At 34.0% G+C, this 20621-nt stretch overlaps 1 protein-coding gene across 6 annotated transcripts in view, besides 1 other annotated feature; it reads right to left on the bottom strand.

Annotated features, from left to right (window-relative positions):
* The window catches only part of RSRC1 (arginine and serine rich coiled-coil 1), a 435642-nt gene that overhangs the window by 240495 nt on the left and 174526 nt on the right, over positions 1 to 20621 (bottom strand). For 5 of the 6 annotated variants that reach the window (NM_001271838.2, NM_016625.4, NM_001271834.2 and 2 more), the window contains one exon: positions 7161 to 7197. In NM_001271838.2, the coding sequence (NP_001258767.1) occupies positions 7161 to 7197 (37 nt within the window). Of the gene's footprint in view, positions 1 to 7160; positions 7198 to 9115; positions 9269 to 20621 lie in introns of those variants that run through there. The other variant, XM_047448274.1, reaches the window with a different exon arrangement.
* Positions 10329 to 10529: a silencer, noted in NCBI's record as "peak4879 fragment used in MPRA reporter construct". NCBI's record gives its function as "represses an SCP1 promoter by STARR-seq MPRAs in K562 erythroleukemia cells {active_cell/tissue: K562}" and the evidence as "EXISTENCE:reporter gene assay evidence [ECO:0000049][PMID:32103011]".

Below are 20621 nucleotides of genomic sequence, written 5' to 3'. Positions count from 1 at the left end.
TTCCCCTCCATTTTAAAAACCATTGTGCCTTATAATAAAACACACAAATCTTTCTCTAGAGGGTGAAAGGAGGGATTGGGGAAGGGCAGAGAAGGGCCCAAGTTCATGCTATTTGAATGACTGGACAATATTAATCATTTATTACAGAAGCAATTTTCAATAAACTTGTAACTCATCAAAATGTATCAGAGAAACGGATCACTTGACATGGCACTGTTTATGACTAGATTATATGCCAGTCCTCAGATTTAAGATCTGTAAACTGCCTAAGAAATTATGACAGTAATATGACATTAACATGACATTAACATTTTATCCACATTAAAGATATTTTAATTTGCACACATTCATAGGATGCACTGTGTGTTAAAAGGAAAGAGAAAGATTTATGGAATTGGTCTTGTAGAAAGAAGAAAAACTTCATGCTGTTTCATCTCATGATCACAGTTTGAGGAAAGTGTCTGTTTTAATACGCAGTTTCACCCTAAACCTCAAATGTATATTGTCTTAGGTGAGAAAAATATATTAAAATGTTGGGAGAAAGGTATCTATTATGCTGACATCCTTAAAGGGTGACATGAGCTAATAAATATTTTTAATCAGTGTTTAATAAATTTATTGAGTATATAGGTAACATCAGTGCATTTTGAGATAATATATTCTTAAACTCATTTAGACAAATGTCAAAAACATATTTTCAGAACACAGTAAGAAAATATGAAGCTACAACTGAAATATTTAAAATGCTACAGACGAAAGTTTAGAGTTTACAATCTATTTTTGCATTTTCTAGCTCATGTTGTATATTAACTGAATCCCCAAAAGTATGATAATGATCCATTAACTGTGTTTATGCTTGTGTTAAATAGAACTATTAGTCTGAAAACCGAAATACAGCAGTTTGATTTTCAAGTCCTATGTAAAATAGTCTAAAACAGAAAGGAAAGGGCTTTTATTGGAACCTGATAGTTATTGATGAATACCTAATAGCAATGGGCCTGCCTACATTTCTGGCAAGCAGAACTATATTCTTATAAACCACTGATGGGCTAAACAAACTATTAATGACAGTTGCTTTTCAACACTTAAAATGGTCAGACTGTGTTACTTGACCACAAGGACAAGTAGGACATCACTCTCAAATGTTATACAATATAAGAAACATAAATGAGACTTCTGTGGAGAGACAAAACCCACAGGTATGGCTCCAGAGTTCTTTTGCTATTCAACTATTAATAGAAAACAAATCCCACTTAAAGCTGTAAACACTTGTAATTCTTTTCACTAAAAGATGTATTATCATTCATTTAATTTCCCACTTAAAGCTTAACAAGGTATTATTAGTCCTAGTGTCCAACTCCAGTCCTGAAAAATACAACTTAACATCTGAACCAAAAATTTTAAAACAAATGTCTGTTACTCTTGCAAGATAAGATGAATTTTTTGCCCCTCTGTAAACTTTTTGGAGTATCTCTTCCCCTGGGTTTATGAACACCCAACCAATCATTCATAGGTTGCAGAATAATACTCAATGAATACAATGAAAACATCTAGATTCTTCACCAGATTCAGAAGGCCTTCTTCATTGGACACATGTCTTTCAATTTAAGGCCTTTTAATGTATTTTTCTTGCTGGTGGTCACTGAACCAGCAGCATTAACCTTGCTTAGGAGCTTGTTGAAATGCATAATTTCAAATCGTGCCCCAGACCCAAAGAATCAGAATGTGCTTTAAGCAAGAATCCCAGGTGACTCATATGTACATTAAAGATGGTGAAGCACTGCCCCAGATCACCCTGTACAGTTACTACAAGCCACTTCTATTTATTTGACTTTTCAGAAAAGAGAACAAAGGAAGCTTTAGAAACATCATACTGATCAGGATAATTCATTTCATTCCTTGCCAAAGGGGGCATAGCACAGCTGTCCTTCTTTCAAGCCAGAAACAACCCACAAAACTATTTTGACCTAAAAAAGTAATTTTTCATACAGCTCGACTTAATATTTTCTGATCTAAATCCTTCTCCCAAGAGAAAAGGATAGCATCATTTTTATAGTTTGCTTATAAAATAATAATAGCTGTATTGTCATCAAATGGCAAGGTTCTATCTCCTGTATTTTTTCCTTAATTGGAAAAATAAAAACATGTTGACTTCATTAAGCCCCCCAGCTGAAAGTAAACATTTTAATCCCCATTCAGTAGTCCAATAAGTGTCACTACTCACTACATTATCCAGAACTTTAAAACATAATGGAAGAAAAAACATGGAGTCACTGGGCGTGGTTGCTCATGCCTGTAATCCCAGCATTCTGGAGGCCGAGGAGGGCGGATCATCTGAGGTCAGGAGTTTGAGGCCAGCCTGGCCAACATGGTAAAATCATGTTGGTCTCTACTAAACATATAAAAATTAGCCAGGCATGGTGGCCGGTGCCTGCAGTCCCAGCTACTCAGGAGGCTGAGACAGGAGAATCACTTGAACCTGCGAGGTGGAGGCTGCAGTGAGCCAAGATTGCACCACTGCTCTCCTGCCTGGGAGACTGAGCAAGACTCCCATCTCAAAAAAAAAAAGGAAGAAAAAAGAAAAAAACATGGAGTCAGCACCCTTTGATAGAACAAGAAGAACTTAGAGTCAACTTTCTACAACTTTAGAGCAGCATTAAAAAAAAAAAAAAAAAAGTCAGGAGCAACATCTAATAACCACCCACCTCCACTCCTTCAACCCTTCTGTGATAACAGACATAACCCCGGGGTCATTATCAGAAGGCCTTTCATCTATAAGCGATTATTCATCAAATTAAAAAAATTATTTTCTTAAGTTCATTACAAAATCTAATTAAGCACAACATTATAAGCAGTGTTTTCACTCATTTCCTTTAAGCCTTAAAAAATGTTATAGGCACTGAGCTATAACACAAATCCACTGAGTATGCAGCATCACTTCTTGGAACCTGAGGGTCAAGAGAAACCTATGCACACGTGAAGCATGTGCTACCTGTTGTGCTGTTAGCTATAAACCACTTTGCCTCTGACCCAGGAATCTCATATCTTCTGCCAGCATCTATACAACTGTGGAAGGCATGCAAGCAGGCTAAAATCTCAGACCCTTAATAAAGAAACACAATAAATATAATGATACACACAGTAATTTTTCCAGGATATAATGTTAAGCAAAAAAAAAGGAAAACAAAAGAATACACACACCACACATACACACACACAGTTTAACAACAACAAAAAAAAAAAACAAAAAAACCCCAAAAAACAAAAAAACAAAGGATTGATAATAAACCAGAAGTCAATAAAATTGGCTGTTTACAAGGGGTGGAGGAGAACAGGCTAGAAAGCAAGAGAGTGACACATCTCTCTGAGAATACCACTGTGTATAATTTTGACCTCTGGAAGTATGTTAACATCATACATGTCCAAAGATAATTAAATCAATAGGAATGGGGACAAAGACACCTAAATTGAATGCAAACAGAAACAAATAAATGCAACTATATTTCAAATGAATAACATAACTATATTCATTGGAGAAAGGGAACTGCAAATAAATCTTGAACTCTTTTTAATAGGGTTGTTTTACTCAAAGTATGCTTGTAGCAATTCTAAAACTATTTTATGTGTATTACATGACTGAACAAATGAGTAACAGTATTGGTGTTATTAGGAGTCAGAGTTCTCACTTGTTATAAGAACCCAGAAGCCATCTTGAAAAGATTCTCCCTTGATAAATCTGGGACAATCTGAGCATCAAAATAAATAAGGGAAGTAACTAACAATAACCTATTTAATAAAATTAAAATCATGAGTCCTTACTCCTGATAAATAGATAAATAAAATAAGGAAGGTGGGCTCTTCCTTACTGTAGAATGCTGGCTGTAACATGGAGGGAGCAGTAGAATTGGAAAATCTATATTTTGCAATCATCAGACAAGAATCATCAATGGATAACAGAGCAACAGCCTTCAAAGTCTGAGTCTAGAACTTTAAAAAGGCATAGGCTTTATGGGTAGTGAACAAGTTTGTGAAAAGAAAAATAAGATGGTATTAGACAGTACATTATTAAAAAATTAAGCTGAGGAGAATGAGATACTAGGACAGTTCTCAGGATCACTTGGCAACATTGAGAGAAAGAAATGATTAAAAAAGAAAAAAACAGAGAGGCTGAATCAGTGGTCTAAGAGACTGTAAAAAACTTAAGTAAAGGAAATCAGTCCTTGAAGAGGTTCCAGGGGAAGAGTCCACCTATCCCACTCTTTTCTCCACAGATCCACACTTGCTTTCCCCTTTTCAGGGTTACATATAACTATATACCAAGAAAAGTATATAAACATATAGCACAAAAACAGGGCAACTATGTTACCTGGTAGCAAGTATAACAAGCGACAAATATAATTTTTCTTAACTTATTAAAATGTATATTGGCTTTTACCCCCTTAGAACAATGCTCTCTATGATAATCTAAGTAAATAATTTTTTAAAAACAAAGACTGAAGAAAGCTACACAAAGAAGAGATTAATTCCAAATGTACAGGATGCTTTTCTTATTTTAATATTATCATATATTTTTTAACACTGATCTATTTAAAAATATACTTCTAATTGTATTTGGATATACAGCCAATTCAAAGAAGAGCTACATCTATGCTAGAAGGCTCTAAACAATATGCTCAGCAGTGAAAGGGAGAGACACAAACCTCAGGTGCCCACAGATGCTAGACAGAACAGGTTTCATTAATGCTCAACCCATAAATTGTGAGTTTAGCTCCATTTTAGGCATGAACCTTTTTAGAAAGGTTTATAAAGATATTCTTCATAATATCACTGACTTTAATGAGTATTATTAATGTACAATGCAAGATGGATGAATGGATGGATAAACAGACAGATGGATAGATGAATATATTGTTAATAGTTCACAGTTAGTGGGTCGATTACAACATAAAGTTACAGTCTTTCAAACAACTAAGATAAAATGCATTCAAATCATCTGCTTCTTACTACCTAACTGTATGCTAGTCCTGGCTCTTTATTCCCAAAATGCTTATCTTTGAAATATATTTGAGGTATATGACCTGGCTCTCTCATTCCCAAAATGCTTATCTTTGAAATACATTTGAGGTATATGACATAAGTAAAAATGAAATATAACTTAGTGTCAAAAATAGGGAAGAATAATTAATATACAATTATTCTTCAATGAGTAGCTATGTTTTATAAAAAGTTTTAAAATATTTTTAGCCAGAGTACTCTTTCTTCAGATGAAATGTTATTTAAAAGTTCAAAAGTTTACAAAATAAGTAAAAGTGGAACTATTTTGGTTAAAGTGAGTAGTGGAAGTCTGGAGTACCACCTGCTGTGGAGAGCTTTCTGGGCAGCCGAAGGCACAGCTAGAAAACCACTGCTGGATAAAATTATAAGTACAATATAAATGTGTGAAATAGTCACTGAAAATGAGATGCTACTAGTAAGTATAAAACATACGAAATTTAAACTAGTAAAACATCAAAGCCATTTTTATTTACTGAAGAACACAAACAAAGTAAATATAAAGTATTTTTAATAAATAATAATTTACAACAAAAGTATAAAAGACACCTCAGGCCAGGTGGCTCACGCCTGTAATTCCAGCATTTTGGGAGGCTGAGGCGGGTGGATCACCTGAGGTCAGGTGTTTGAGACCAGCCTGGCTAATATGGTGAAACCCCATCTCTACTAAAAACACACAAAAAAATAGCTGAGTGTGGTGACGGGCACCTGTAAGTCCAAATACTGGGAGGCTGAGGCAGAAGAATCACTTGAACCTGGGAGGCAGAGGTTGCAATGAGCTGAGATCGCACCACTGCACACTAATCTGGGAGAAAGAGCGAGGCTCCATCTCAAAAAAACAAATAAATAAATAAATAAATAAAAATAAAAAATAAAAGACACCTCATATTGGCACTATGATAGCTGTTCTTCCTTGTTGTAAGCCCCTAACTGATACTGGAATGTGATGTTACAAACTAACATGTTTATTCTGATATCCATATGTCCTAAATCTATGTGCTATTATGAAGTTATAAACAGTGGTTCAGGAAATATTTTTTAATGATGAAAATAACCATGTTATTTACTAACTTCTGATCCCCAAATACATAGCTCAAATTTTCTATTATATCCTCCTTTTTAATAATTAATCTCTAATTTTTAGGATCACTTTTAAAAGTCTAGGTTTCCTCAGTTTCCATTAGCTATAAAAGAAAAACCAAAAATTCCTTCCAACTATAAAACTGCTATAAGTCAAAATGAAGCTGTCTCTTGCTACTGTTTGCTTTTGTGGAAGCAGAACAAAAGTACATTAATAGTTAACAAAGCTACAGTATGATATACGAATGAAGTCTTGCATTAAAAAACTACTTAGACTGTATTTACAAAAGAATATGTACCATTAATTATTCAACATTTGGATCTGACCAGAAACCAGAGGATGACTCTGTAACGCTCAGTTTAAATGAACTACTTAATGTTGTAATAAACACTCAATACAGTGGGCTCAATGAATTTCAAACATATTACAATTGTAAGGGTTTTCCAATTTTTTGATCAATAACAGATTTTAATGCTAAATCAGTTTGAATTTCACTTTTCTCTAAAATGTTTACTTAAACCAAAAATTTTGCATCTCAATTATTTTATATTCTAAATCTGAATGTAGTTTAAACCAATGCATTATTCATAAAGCAAAGACATCAGGAAAGACAAAGCTGTGCACTTCTTTCAAAGCTGCTAAATTGCTAAAACATACCATATTTATGCATGCAATATTTGATTGTGTTTTTCTTAAAACACAAGCTTGTTTTCATCAGATCAAGATATGCCAAAAATTCTACACCAAACAATTTTTGTTTATAATTAAAGCAAGCATCAATCCAAGGATTGTCATCCATTTTATTTCATCTCTACATCAAAAAAAAGTAATTTAAAAAATTTTTAAATTCCCTTGAAATGATAAGAGAAATGAAAATGTAAGTGCCTTCACATAATAACAGTAAGCTGACCCTTTGGGAAATGGTTGACTTTCTCAATACAAAGTATTCAAAGCTCATTCAAAAGTGTTCATTTAGAATGCAGATATCAAAGATGATGCAAATGTTCAAGAGAAAATGAGAACTTACCAGATGTTCTAATCCAGCTTTGATGTTTCCAGATTCCCTAAAATAGAAGAGTAAAAGTTCTAAATAGTTGCTAAATCCTTGTCTGCTCTAATTTGTTTACCTCAAAAATGTTTTATAAACCCTTGTAATTTTTTCATATGTATTTACTTATGTTCATAACACTGTTTTTAAGGACAAAACAATTTTTATCAAAAGTGAACAGATAATTTATATCAGATTTACCACTAAATTGGTATTTCACTAAAAAAAGTTTCAGATTTTTCAAAGTCAATGAAAAATGTAAAGAACTCACAAACATCATTTTATTCTTCACACAATATCTATTCCTTTCACACTAGCTTTTCTATTAGAAATTTTATTATATTATTGTTTATTTCCAACATTTATTATGAAAATGTTCAAATTTACAGATTCTATCCACCACCCAGATTCTATAACTCACATCTTATTATATTTGGTTTCTCAAATATCCATCCACCAATGGTTGCGTTTTTATAAAAAGAATGTACACATAAAGAATACATTAGTGAGTACACAGCTAAATAACTAAATCTTATCCTATTTTCTCCTGTCATTAATTTTATGAATTTAATGCACACTACAAATCAGGACCTATGATCATTTTAATATCAAAAAAGAAAATATCACCAAAGAAAACATAAACATCAAATATCATGATATATTTTAAGTATTAAATTTCCTGCTTTTTACTGTAGAAGAGACTGCTTATGGAACTGAAAATACAAGTATCTGTACATCTAGCAAACATAATTTAAATACAGATTTGTTGAAATGTGGCAAATAGTTAAATTTTTTCTGATTTCAATCTGTACTAATTTATTTGTGACAAATGAACTTTGGCTTTTCTCATTCTGATCAAGCAATATTTTAGTTCCATTGTAAGTACCAAGCATTACCTTTTTAAACAAGAAATTATAATCCTACCACATTGCAGAAAGTAATTATTAATATAAATCCTCCAACAATAAACAACATTATTATATTCATGATGTTTAATCTTCTCCCCACATCTCACTTCTCTGAGGGGTCTCAACTTTCTTTTCTATTTCTGTCTTCTATTTTTTCTTTGCCAAAGATATACTTACCTGTTTCCTTTGTCTTGCTTCCAAATTTCTCCATTTTTATTCCCTTCAGATTTGCTGCTGGAAAACTGTACTCATGGCTTCCAACCTTTGCTCTCACTGCCCAGTCTGACATATTAGAGTAAATTCCCACTTCTACTGATTAGTACTAATTTTCAGCCATTCTCTTCTGTATTTCCTGCTTCTGGCAATCTTAGCAAAACTATATATTCAATGTTTAGATATTTAATGGTTTCTGAAACTCATTATTTAATCTCTAATGTCTGCAGTCCTACTGACAAATGATAAGAATAAATTACTGCAAGGTGTGAGAGAAGGCTACTATCTATATAAATAATTATTTTATACTTTATCATTACAAAATTAATGCATTTATCGGAGCTGGAAGTCAAATGAATCTTTACATTTTCACAAGAACATTCAAATATAGTTATTTGTATAACTTAAAATTTAAACCAAAAAGTATTAACATATAGTGAAACATCTGAACAGGGCAACATATATGTATGTGTGCACATGCATGCACACACACACACACACACAAAATAAAATTAAGTCTTCCTCCCATCACTGACTCCCAGTTCTCAATCTTGGTTAATCCTTCTGAAGATATGCACTCGTGTGTGTGTATGTGTGTATGTGTGTGTGTGTGTCTTTCTCCCTTCTATGTTTGTTGAAATCCACAATAGAAGCATATTATACACTCTGTTTTGTACCTTCACTTGGCAATCTATCTTAGAGTCTGTGCTATATAATACACATCTACTTCGCTTTCTCGCACAGCTACATTGTCACAAAATGGTTCTTATTAGAAAATAATATTGCAATATATAAAGAACGAAAATGATCAGATTCAAAGTATAAGTCCATACTTTATTATCTGAAATAGCTGGGGCTAGACATGCTTTATCAGAATATTTCAGATTTTAGAAAGGTTAAGGTATGTCATACAATGGTGCCAGCAGGGTCTGATGCAGCATCTCATCATCATACACGTTAGTAATTCTGAAAGAAAGATATTAATGTTCACACAAAATGGGATAAACAAAGACTGTAAATAGCTTCATTTCAGGGTAGGTTTGCTGTCAACTGTGTCTGCCACAATCTTAGGGAAAATCACTTAATTTTCTGAGATACCTGTATTTGAGAATGAGGACAAGAAACTGCTCTTTAAAACAAAAAGACAATGTAGGCTATTGCTTTGCCATGTTTCTAAGTAATTCTTTAAATTAAAAGATATTTATAAAATGTTTTGAATGGCATGGCTGAGAGAAAACTAGTCATCATTCTTGGCACATTCCCTTTCCTTCACTATCAAATGTAACCAAATGTAATCAACCATAGGGCCCTGGCTATCCAACAACCTTCATTATCATTAGATCTAACTATTTCTTTCTATCTCCACAGCTTTTATGTTATTTCAGTCCATCATCTTTTCTCCCTAAATTGCTGCAATAGTCTCTTATTGAATGCCAGTAGTTGCTGCCTTGTCTCATGTCAATTCATTTTCCATTAACACAACAAAATCTTTATAAAATGTAAACTTAATCATGTCAATTCTCTTCTTAAAATCTACAGTATCCTACCATACTGCAGTTTACCTATTCCCTCTGTTATCTTGTCAAAGCTACATTACATGAAAAGTAACAACAGCAGCCACAACAAACTACTAACCTGGTTTCACTCACCAATGAACCACTTTCACCCCTACCTAAAATGCTCCTTTTCTCCCAGCCTCCTCTAATCTTCCCTATCTAACAAAAATCCATCCTTCAGGACTCATCCTAAACCATTCTTCAATTGGGGAAACCTTCTCCTTGTCCCACAAATTATGTGATGAATTCTTCCTATATATTTCCATTAACACTCGGGGCATGTCCCATCACAGAACTGATCACAGTATTTTATAAATGCCTATTTACTTTCCTACTTACACCAGTGAAGTGAAAACTCCTTGGCGATATGCATTACGTCTTTTTAATTTTTATATTCCAGCACCCAATACAATGACTGAATCAATATATTTAAGGATATGACATCTGAATCACAAGACAAGCTTGGGTACAGAGTCAGTAGCAACCAGCTCAGGTCTCTGAGCAGTACTATTCAGCCCCACTCTATCTCCAACCCATGTAAAGAGCAAGGCAATTTGCAACACTGAGTGGCTGCCTGAGATAAAACAGTAGTATTAGGAGGAAGGCACAGGTGCCTGTATGTGCATGAACATGTGTAGGGTGTGGGTGGTTATTTATTTATTTTTTTTACTGTTTTTGAGGGTGTGGGAGCCACGGGGAAAGTAGTTGAGGCTAAACTAGAACACTAGAGATTGTCCACTCTAGTTTTTAAATTAGCCTGGAGAAGCACAAGTCAGATCTTAGGTTTTTACCCCTCCTTTTAGATTAAAATTGCTATCCAAGGCAGCTAAATGCTGTTAGGAAAAAAAAAGATGAACCCACAAGGAAAACTGTAAGATGTATAAACCAGAATTTTAAAAAATAATAATCTTATCCAGAGAAAAGAGAATAAACTAAACAAGAATGTAAACATAATAACATCTTCAAAGAGATGATTTTTAGAAATATAAGTATGAAAATGAAGTTATGAAAAAGAACCAATATATGATAGTGGGTATTACAAACATAATCATTTGAAATAAAGAATTCAGAGGATGGATTGAAAATACAATAGATACAGACAGAGGATGAATTAATAAGCTGGAAAACTGGGTAGAAGAACTATTGCAGAAGGCATAGGGAGGGGGCAAAAAGACAAGACAAACAACTGATAGAATTAAGAACAGGAGTAGAAGTGTTAACATCTATATAATAAGAATCCTAGAAGGAGGGTTAAAAAAAATGGAAGAGAAGAAATATTTGAAGAAATAATGACAGAGATTTCCCAGATATAAAAATATTCAAATCTCAGGTTCAAAGGGCACATAGAGTGCTGAAAGGATGTTTAAAAATCTGCAGCAAAGCATATTATACGGACATTTAAGACTATAATGGATTAAGAGAAAAGTCAAAAAGCTTCCGGAATGAAAAAGGAGACCCCTACACAAAGGAAGAATATCACTGATATTAGATTTCCCGACACTAAAGTGAAGACAAGAAGACAATGGAGTAATAACAACTCTCAAGATAAAGTGTTACAGGAAAAGAACTGTGAACCAAGAATTAACACATAGCTAATAAACTATTATTTAAATACAAAGAAATATAAAGAAATTCTCAGCATACAAGGTTTCAGAAAATTCACCACACAAAGACATCATTTAAAAGAAGTCTTGAAGAATATAATGCAGGTAAGAAGATAAATAAATTCAGGAAGAATCAACAAGGTAAGGCAAGTAAAGGATGGCCTAGAATTGAGCAATTATTGTAATCTAAGTAATCAGTAACTAAAAAGAAAACTAGAGAAAGTTCACCCATAATCATCTGGAATTGAAATCCCAGAAAAGATTTTCAGATTGGATAAAAAACCAAAATCCAGCAATGTATTATTTACAAAAGACACATAATACAAAATGATTCAGAAGGGTTTCCCAAAAAAAGGTTTCCCATAAAACCAGGCAAATATGGACCAAAAGAAAGCTGGGGCAGCAAGTTTAATGCTTTAATGACAAAATACATTTAAGTCCCCTACTCCCATACATACATACATATGTACGTACGTACACATATGTATGTATGTATATATTATGAAAAGAAGGTAATTTTAGGTAATATATACATATATGAGAGTCAGGGACTTAAGTATATTCTAGTCTAGGGAAAGATAAACCAAGAAGTTTTCATTTATATCTGGAAGGTTTGCATATACATAAAGCTTAACACATATCACATTGGGACACCTAAGTTTAAGCAAGTTCTCCATGAAAATCAGTTTTCTTTACTTTTACTTTGGTCAGAAAGATAAGGAAGAATGACCACCTCAAAACAACACAGGTAAAGTATCATGAGTACATAAATACAACACAAAACAGTATGACATATAATACTCGTTTTAGAAGCAGAGTGCCTACACTCAAATTTAAACACTACTACAAAATAGTCCTGTGAGCTTGAGTAATAATCCAACTTTTCTCAATCTCAGATTGTCCACCTATGATGTGAGGCTTACTTGCCTTACCTAACACACAAGGTTGCTGTGAAAGAGTAAGAAGGATAATGTACATGAAGATAAAAAATAAACTATAGAAATGTTATTATGATGGAGGATATTTAAACACAAAAGTCTTAAAAGTGATTCTAAGAGTTTTAATGAATTTGAAAAAATAGAGAGGCAACATCCAAGACATTGACAGAAGGATCTTACAACAAATGGTATAAAACCTGTCCTCTTTAGTGGTCTGTCTCTTGGGTTGTCCCTGTCATGACTTCATCAATATTTGTGCAACTCCTTTTGCCCTGTGCTGAAAGCAGACTTAATTCAATTATAGGTCTCAAAACTGATAAAATGGTCCTGAAGTGGAAAATGGGAAGAGATTATTGGCAAATGAATAAAGATTTGTATCGAACTAACACACAGGAGTACAGCAGGTCTTTTTTTAATCATTCCCTGTCTTAAATCTTCTGGGAACCATGAGTTTCCCTTCCCCTCATGCAGCACATCGATTTCTGAATTAGACTGCAATATTAAATAATTAATATACTTGCCATGATTGATGTTCTGCATTAGTTGAATATTAGGTTATCAATCAAAATCCACTTGGTTTAATGTAATAATATTGAAAAAGTGTCACAGGCTGTTCATCCAATTTGTAGTTGAGGCAGCACAGATAGTGATGTTGGCATAACACAAGGCTCTAAAGCAGGAAATGCAGTGGCTCAACACGTATGAAGCAGACATTTTAAAACTAACTGGGACAAGACTGAGGTTGTCCAAAATAAACCAGGTAGCACCTGATAGTTTTAATCTTAGGCGTGAGAAGATGCCATGTATCAATTATGCCATGGTAGGCAAGAAAAAAATTAAAAGTAGGTATTACTTTCCCTTTGTTACAAACAAATTTCATTATTTTTCCAAAAGAAATATACTCTACGTCTAAAAACTATTGCTATAATAAAGCTTATGTCCTCTTAAGAAATTTGTAAACAAAAACACTAAGATTTTTTAGATCTCGTCTTACCAGAAAGTCATTGACTTTTCTTACCTTTTCTTAAAACAGAAGAACAGTATCAATCATACCAATGAATATTCAGGTTTTTTAGTAGTCTAGAGGAATCGGGTTAAGGAGCCACACTTAATAATGATATTTATTTTGAAAAAATACTATTCTTTCTGATGATGGCAATTTCCCTTACTATCAATATTTTGCATCTACATTTGTCAAAATATTAGCTTAGGAAAATAACTTAAATTACTTGATTCTCCCAGTAAAGTAATGACAATTTTTCTCATCATTCCCTATCACCTCAATCCAAAATCTATTATGGATTTACTTATAAAAGTGATTACTTAAAAACAAATTTAAGAAACAAAAGAGATCTAAAAGAAAAGTGACTTTTTTGGTGGGATGAGCAGAAACTTAACAAAATAAATATAACCAAAACCATTTCAAAGAGCAAGCCAAAATTCCAGTGAGGGTTTAATTATAAAATACTCATAAACCATAAATCACATAACTAATTGGAGTAGCATGAAAGTGTCATTCCACTGAACAAGTCCTTGGTAAATAAAAGATTAAATATAATTATAATCACTAATGTATTATCCTATGTAAAAATATGTACATATATAGTAATTATGAAAAATTGAGTTAACTATTAAAAATAATTTTTTTAAGAGACATTCTGTCACCCAGGCTGGAATGCAGTAGCAACATCTAGTTAGACTCTAACTCCTGGGCCCAAGTGGCCCTCCATCCTCAGGCTCCCAAGTAGCTATGACCACAGGCATGTGCCACCACACTCAGCTAATTTTTTTCTTATTTTTTGTAGAGATAGGTAGGGCCTCACTATGTTGTCCAAGTTGGTCTTGAACTTCTAGACTCAAGTGGTCCTCCCATCTCAGCCACCCAAAGAACTGGAATTACAGGTGTGAGCCACCGCACCTGGCCAAAATAAAAATGTACAGTAGATTTTTTTGTCATGAACTAAACATATTATTTACTTTTAAAAGACTAGTATGCTGCAGTTTTCTATGGATATAAGAGCTAAGATCATAGTTAATTTTGTATTTTTTTCTTTCATAAAGCAAAATCTACAGGAGTTGGATTTTTACATGATGTCACTGAACGCTTATAAAAGCCTGACTACATACATTATTACATATCTACATTTTCCATCTCAAACAATAATGAAAACATTTTTACATGTATTAGATTTTGTTATATATCAAATGTTATTGATGAATAAAAGTTTGGCAAAATATAAATTTAAGAAAAAGCTGAGTTCTGCCAGGCGTGGTGGCTGACGCCTGTAATCCCAACACTTTGGGAGGCCAAGGTGGGCGGATCACGAGGTCAGGAAATCGAGACCATCCTGGCTAACACGATGAAACCCCATCTCTACTAAAAAAAATACAAAAAATTAGCTGGGCGTGGTGGCGGGCGCCTGTAGTCCCAGCTACTTGGGAGGCTGAGGCAGGAGAATGGCGTGAACCTGGGAGGCGGAGCTTGCAGTGAGCCGAAATCGCGCCACTGCACTCCAGCCTGGGAGACAGAGCAAGACTCCATCTCAAAACAAAACAAAACACAACAAAAAAAGCTGAGTTCTAATTTCAGCTCTACTATTTACTAATGGTCTTTGTTCAGTTATATATTTCTCAAATTTTTCTCGCCTTACATTCAAAATCAGATTAACAAGATAATCAGCATACAATATAGAAGTCACTCAGTAAATACTGGTTCAATACAACAGCCTAATAATGGACCAATTGACTGCACTTCACTTTCAAAATAAAAAAAAAAATCTTCATATAATTTTCAGCTTTCTTAATTGCCTTGAAATCCATTTCAACTGTAATACCTATAAATGAAAGTCAGTCTCATTTTCAAACATCAAATCTTGGATGGATGGATGGATGGATGGATGGATGGATGGATAGAAAGATAGAAAGACAGATAAATTTTGGCTAGTATCCAATAGAACACTACAGATATCCTGATATAAGGACATTCTTATGTTCTATTTGCAAGAAGGTACAGTGTTGGGAAAAGCAAGCAAAAATAATTTCTATTTTTGCATTTTAACTCAATTTTTAAAAATGCTTAATGTCAGTACTCTGATCTACAAAGATCTTCCTGAAATTCTCAGTTTCTGCTTCTCAGGTTTGGTTAGAATTCTTAGCACTTTTCTCTTGATTGGCGAACACCTTGCAAATTAGTGGCTCTAAATGAATATTCTTATGTTACTATAGTTCAGAATGATGGTTTTCAGATGTTTGCATTTTACAAGTAGTTTTGATCTGACTGATTATTATCGGTAATAAATAAAGCTCTAGAACTTATAAATCATTTGCACAGGTAAGTCTACCATAGTAACAAAATTTAAGTGTTTTGTTATCTTTTTAAGATCCTTTAGTTTTATAGACAAATATTAGTGAGCATCCACTATGTCAGGACAAGTTCAAATTAAATATATTAAACAGCCAAGGACTTATGATACACACTTGGCTTATTCCAATGGGAAGCTGAACACTTAAGCTGGTATGGATCAGTTATGCCACTTAAAACCAGTCAAGTAAACAGAGTTCACAGAAAGGGTCTACAGGGGAAAGAGAAGAGAGTTCAATATTTCTGAAGTCATGCTCTAGATAACAGTTGCAAACAGAGGAAAACTAAAATTTTGTCATCAGTAGATCTGATGTAAAAGAACCAATAAAAGAGGTCTTTTAGACATAAGAGAAATTATAGCAGAAACAGACTTGAAATGTCAAGGTGAAAGAAGTACAACAGAAATGTTATTTGCTGAGCTCCCTTAGCTCCATGATAAATTCTGAGGGGATAATAAAAACAATAACAACATAAACATCATCAACAGAAAAAAAGCAAGAAAAAATATGGTATCTATGCCTTAGATGTTAAAAACTGTGTTGTCAAACCAAGGCTAGTACAGTCAGTCCTCCCCATCTGTGAATCCACAACAATGAAGTCAACCAACCACAGATCAAAAATATTTGGGGGGGGGGGGGGCGGGGAACGTGCATCTGTATTGAACATGTGCAGATTTTTTATTCTTGACATTATTCCCTAAACAATACTGTAAAACAACCACTCACATAACATTTAAGTTGTAATAGGTATTATAAGCAATCTAGATATAATACATAAATTATAGACAAATACTATGCCATTTTATATGAGGGACTTAAGAATCCATAGACTTTGGTATGTGCAGTAGGTCCTGGAATCAATATCCCACAGATACCGGGGGAAGATGGTATATAAAATAGTAACTGTCCAATCCAGGCAGGGAAAGGGCATGTGATACATGCTACCTATCTGGTACTTCCCACACGCAGGACAAACATTCATAATCAATGACAACTCTCTTTCCAACTGAGGCCAGGTGCAACTCAACACATTTTAGTAAGGAGTCATGGCCAGTTGTTTGGAGTTAGCAGGTGAGATGCAAGCTATTCACCGTCACCCCCCACTTCAACCCATGCTCTTGACCTTGTTCAAGGAAAGTTCATAAAAAGGAAAAATGATCAGATGTGTTAGAGTGGTTGGAAAAGATTTCAAAGAGAAGGGTATAGCTAGATCCTGAAGGATTCATTGTATTTGGGTAGACTGAGTACATAGAAAAGAGGAGGCGCGAAGAGTGAGCTCAAAGGTCCAGCATGACCTGGCAGTGTTCAAGTATGGAGAGTACCCTGCCCAGAGAAGATGTATTAAAAGGTCATACAACTTTAATTAATTTAAAATAATTTTTATAATGTAAGTTTTTAGGTCCATCACATACAGTTGTGCATGTTGTTCATTACGAAAAAACAAAAAAATCAAGGGGGCAAGTGGAAGCTAAAAGCCATATGCCCCGGCCAAACAGTATATCCTGGTATGCATCCACAGGAAAAAGGGACATCTTGCATAATATGCACAAAGTTGCCATATGGGCTACAAGTGACCCTTCAAATAATAAATGCTTATTGTAGAAAAATTCAAAATCACATCTGGTTCTAATGAAGAAAAAATAAAAGTCACCTGAAATTCCACTAGCCAAAGATAATAGCTTCAATATGTCCTTGTTTTTTCCTCCAGAAATTCTTATGAATACACACAAATACAATTATTTTTCTTATAAAAATGGGACCATGGTTGACTTGTTATATAGCTTAAATTTTTTCACTACTATATATTGTAAATAGCTTCCGGTTGTCAATAATATACTTGCATATAATATTTTAATGTTTGCATACTATCCTGCATACAGATGAACAATAAGCTAACTTATCCCTTATTTTTGGACATTTAGGTTCTTTCTGATTTATCCTTATAAATAAAACTGGGGTATAAGAAAAGAATAATCATTAGATTTAAAAATCATTGATGATTTTATGTAATGTTTATTTCACTTGGAGAACTGAGGTTAAATAATTTTTATAAGCAGAAATAAACCTAGTATATTTCATCTCCACTATTTAATCATAAATAAATTCATGCATTCTATTACTTCTATATAAATACAAATATTTAAATGTCAATTAAATTCACATTACAATTATAAATAATCTAAATGTAATTTTAAAATACAATTTCTACTTCCAAAAATTCTACTATAAAATTATGTCCCAATAATTTCATAAAAGCAATATATTCCCATATGTAACACAGTCAACAATCCCAAATAGAAGGTCATAAATATATCCTATTAAGTCTTTAGCTGTTAAAACTGAGGGAAAAGGCTAGGCGCAGTGACTCACGCCTGTAATCCCAGCACTTTGGGAGGCTGAGACAGGTGGATCACGAGGTCAGGAGATGGAGACCATCCTGGCTAACACAGTGAAACCCTGTCTCTACTAAAAATACAAAAAATTGGCCGGGTGTGGTGGCACGCAGCTGTAGTCCCAGATACTCGGAAGGCTGAGGCAGGAGAATCACTTGAACCCAGGAGGCAGAGGTTGCAGTGAGCTGAGATCGTGCCACTGCACTCCAGCCTGGGTGACAGAGCGAAAAGTGCAACATGTGTATATCTTTCCTGAAAACAGCAAAGTTTGAATAACTCAGAAATTGATTATCCAAGTTTTCAATTATTAAAGTCTTTTTATTATTTTCTCTTCCTTCCGTTGTTGTTCTGTTTAACTTCTGTTCTCCTATTTAACTCAACAGGAAACTGAAAACTAAGGTGTAATTTTAATCAGGTAAGCATCTAATAGTGCTAGGAAATAATAATGAAGTCTTTCCTTGTTTAATGAATCAAATTCCTCAGCCTAGAATTCAAGATTCTTGCTCAAGTCAAAAGATTTGCCATTTCCTAAAGACCTCTTTGCACTTCCCAGCACTTAAATTTTCATAGTATTTGTCTAAGTGAACTGACCTTCTCAGAGATTCCACCTGTGAGGAAATACTGAACAGAGTTTGCCAGGCACGGTAACAAGTGCTTTACATAATCTGCTCATTTAACACTTATGATTTTATCATAAAGACATGTAATTATTATACCTATTTTATAGATGAGATAAATGAGGATCAGAGAGATTCAGTAGATCACACTATACCGCTCAGCTAGAAACTTGAATTAAATTCCCAAACTTTAGTCAAGGGAGAATTTATTACTTTCAACTCTAAAAAACAATAACCTCAAGAATAAAACAAGATTTTACAACATTCCTTTACTCCTTAATTGGAAACATGATTAGGGAGGAGGCAGCAAAGCGATGAGGATTTAAGTAAAAATAAACACTAGCTGAACCTGGTCATTTATACTTGCATTCTCATTCAATTCTTACAATATTCACAAAACAAATACTGTACAAATAGCTAACACATTTAAACAGTTAGGAAAATTTTATAGTGCACAGTAAAGATCTATAAAATAAAAGGAAATGCCATTTTTCACCCAGCAAACAAGCAAAGGTGAAAACACCACTCCTATTCAACATAGTGTTGGAAGTTCTGGCCAGGGCAATTAGGCAGGAGAGGGAAATAAAGAGTATTCAATTAGGAAAAGAGGAAGTCAAATTGTCCCTGTTTGCAGATGACATGATTGTATATCTAGAAAACCCCACTGTCTCAGCCCAAAATATCCTTAAGCTGATAAGCAACTTCAGCAAAGTCTCAGGATACAAAATCAATGTACAAAAATCACAAGCATTCTTATACACCAATAACAGACAAACAGAGAGCCAAATCATGAGTGAACTCCCATTCACAATTGCTTCAAAGAGAATAAAATACCTAGGAATCCAACTTACAAGGGATGTGAAGGACCTCTTCAAAGAGAACTACAAACCACTGCTCAATGAAATAAAAGAGGATACAAAGAAATGGAAGAACATTCCATGCTCATGGGTAGGAAGAATCAATATCGTGAAAATGGCCATAGCCCAAGGAAATTTATAGATTCAATGCCATCCCTATCAAGCTACCAATGACTTTCTTCACAGAATTGGCAAAAACTACTTTAAAGTTCATATGGAACCAAAAAAGAGCCCGCATTGCCAAGTCAATCCTAGGCCAAAAGAACAAAGCTGGAGGCATCACGCTACCTGACTTCAAACTATACGACAAGGCTACAGTAACCAAAACAGCATGGTACTGCTACCAAAACAGAGATATAGATCAATGGAACAGAACAGAGCCCTCAGAAATAACGCCGAATAACTACAACTATCTGATCTTTGACAAACCTGACAAAAACAAGCAATGGGGAAAGGATTCCCTATTTAATAAATGGTGCTGGGAAAACTGGCTAGCCATATGTAGAAAGCTGAAACTGGATCCCTTCCTTACACCTTATACGAAAATTAATTCAAGATGGATTAAAGACTTAAACGTCAGACCTAAAACCATAAAAACCCTAGAAGAAAACCTAGGCAATACCATTCAGGACATAGGCATGAGTAAGGACTTCATGTCTAAAACACCAAAAGCAATGGCAACAAAAGCCAAAATTGACAAATGGGATTTAATTAAACTAAAGAGCTTCTGCACAGCAAAAGAAACTACCATCAGAGTGAAGAGGCAACCTACAAAATGGGAGAAAATTTTCGCAACCTACTCATCTGACAAAGGGCTAATATCCAGAATCTACAATGAACTCAAACAAATTCACAAGAAAAAAACAAACAACCCCATCAAAAAGTGGGCAAAGGACGTGAACAGACACTTCTCAAAAGAAGGCATTTATGCAGCCAAAAACCACATGAAAAAATGCTCACCATCACTGGCCATCAGAGAAATGCAAATCAAAAC

Source organism: Homo sapiens, chromosome 3 (genome assembly GCF_000001405.40).
Source record: "Homo sapiens chromosome 3, GRCh38.p14 Primary Assembly".
Classification (NCBI taxonomy): domain Eukaryota; kingdom Metazoa; phylum Chordata; class Mammalia; order Primates; family Hominidae; genus Homo; species Homo sapiens.
Note: the sequence above shows the minus strand (reverse complement) of the source record. Positions and strands in the feature narration are given on the sequence as shown.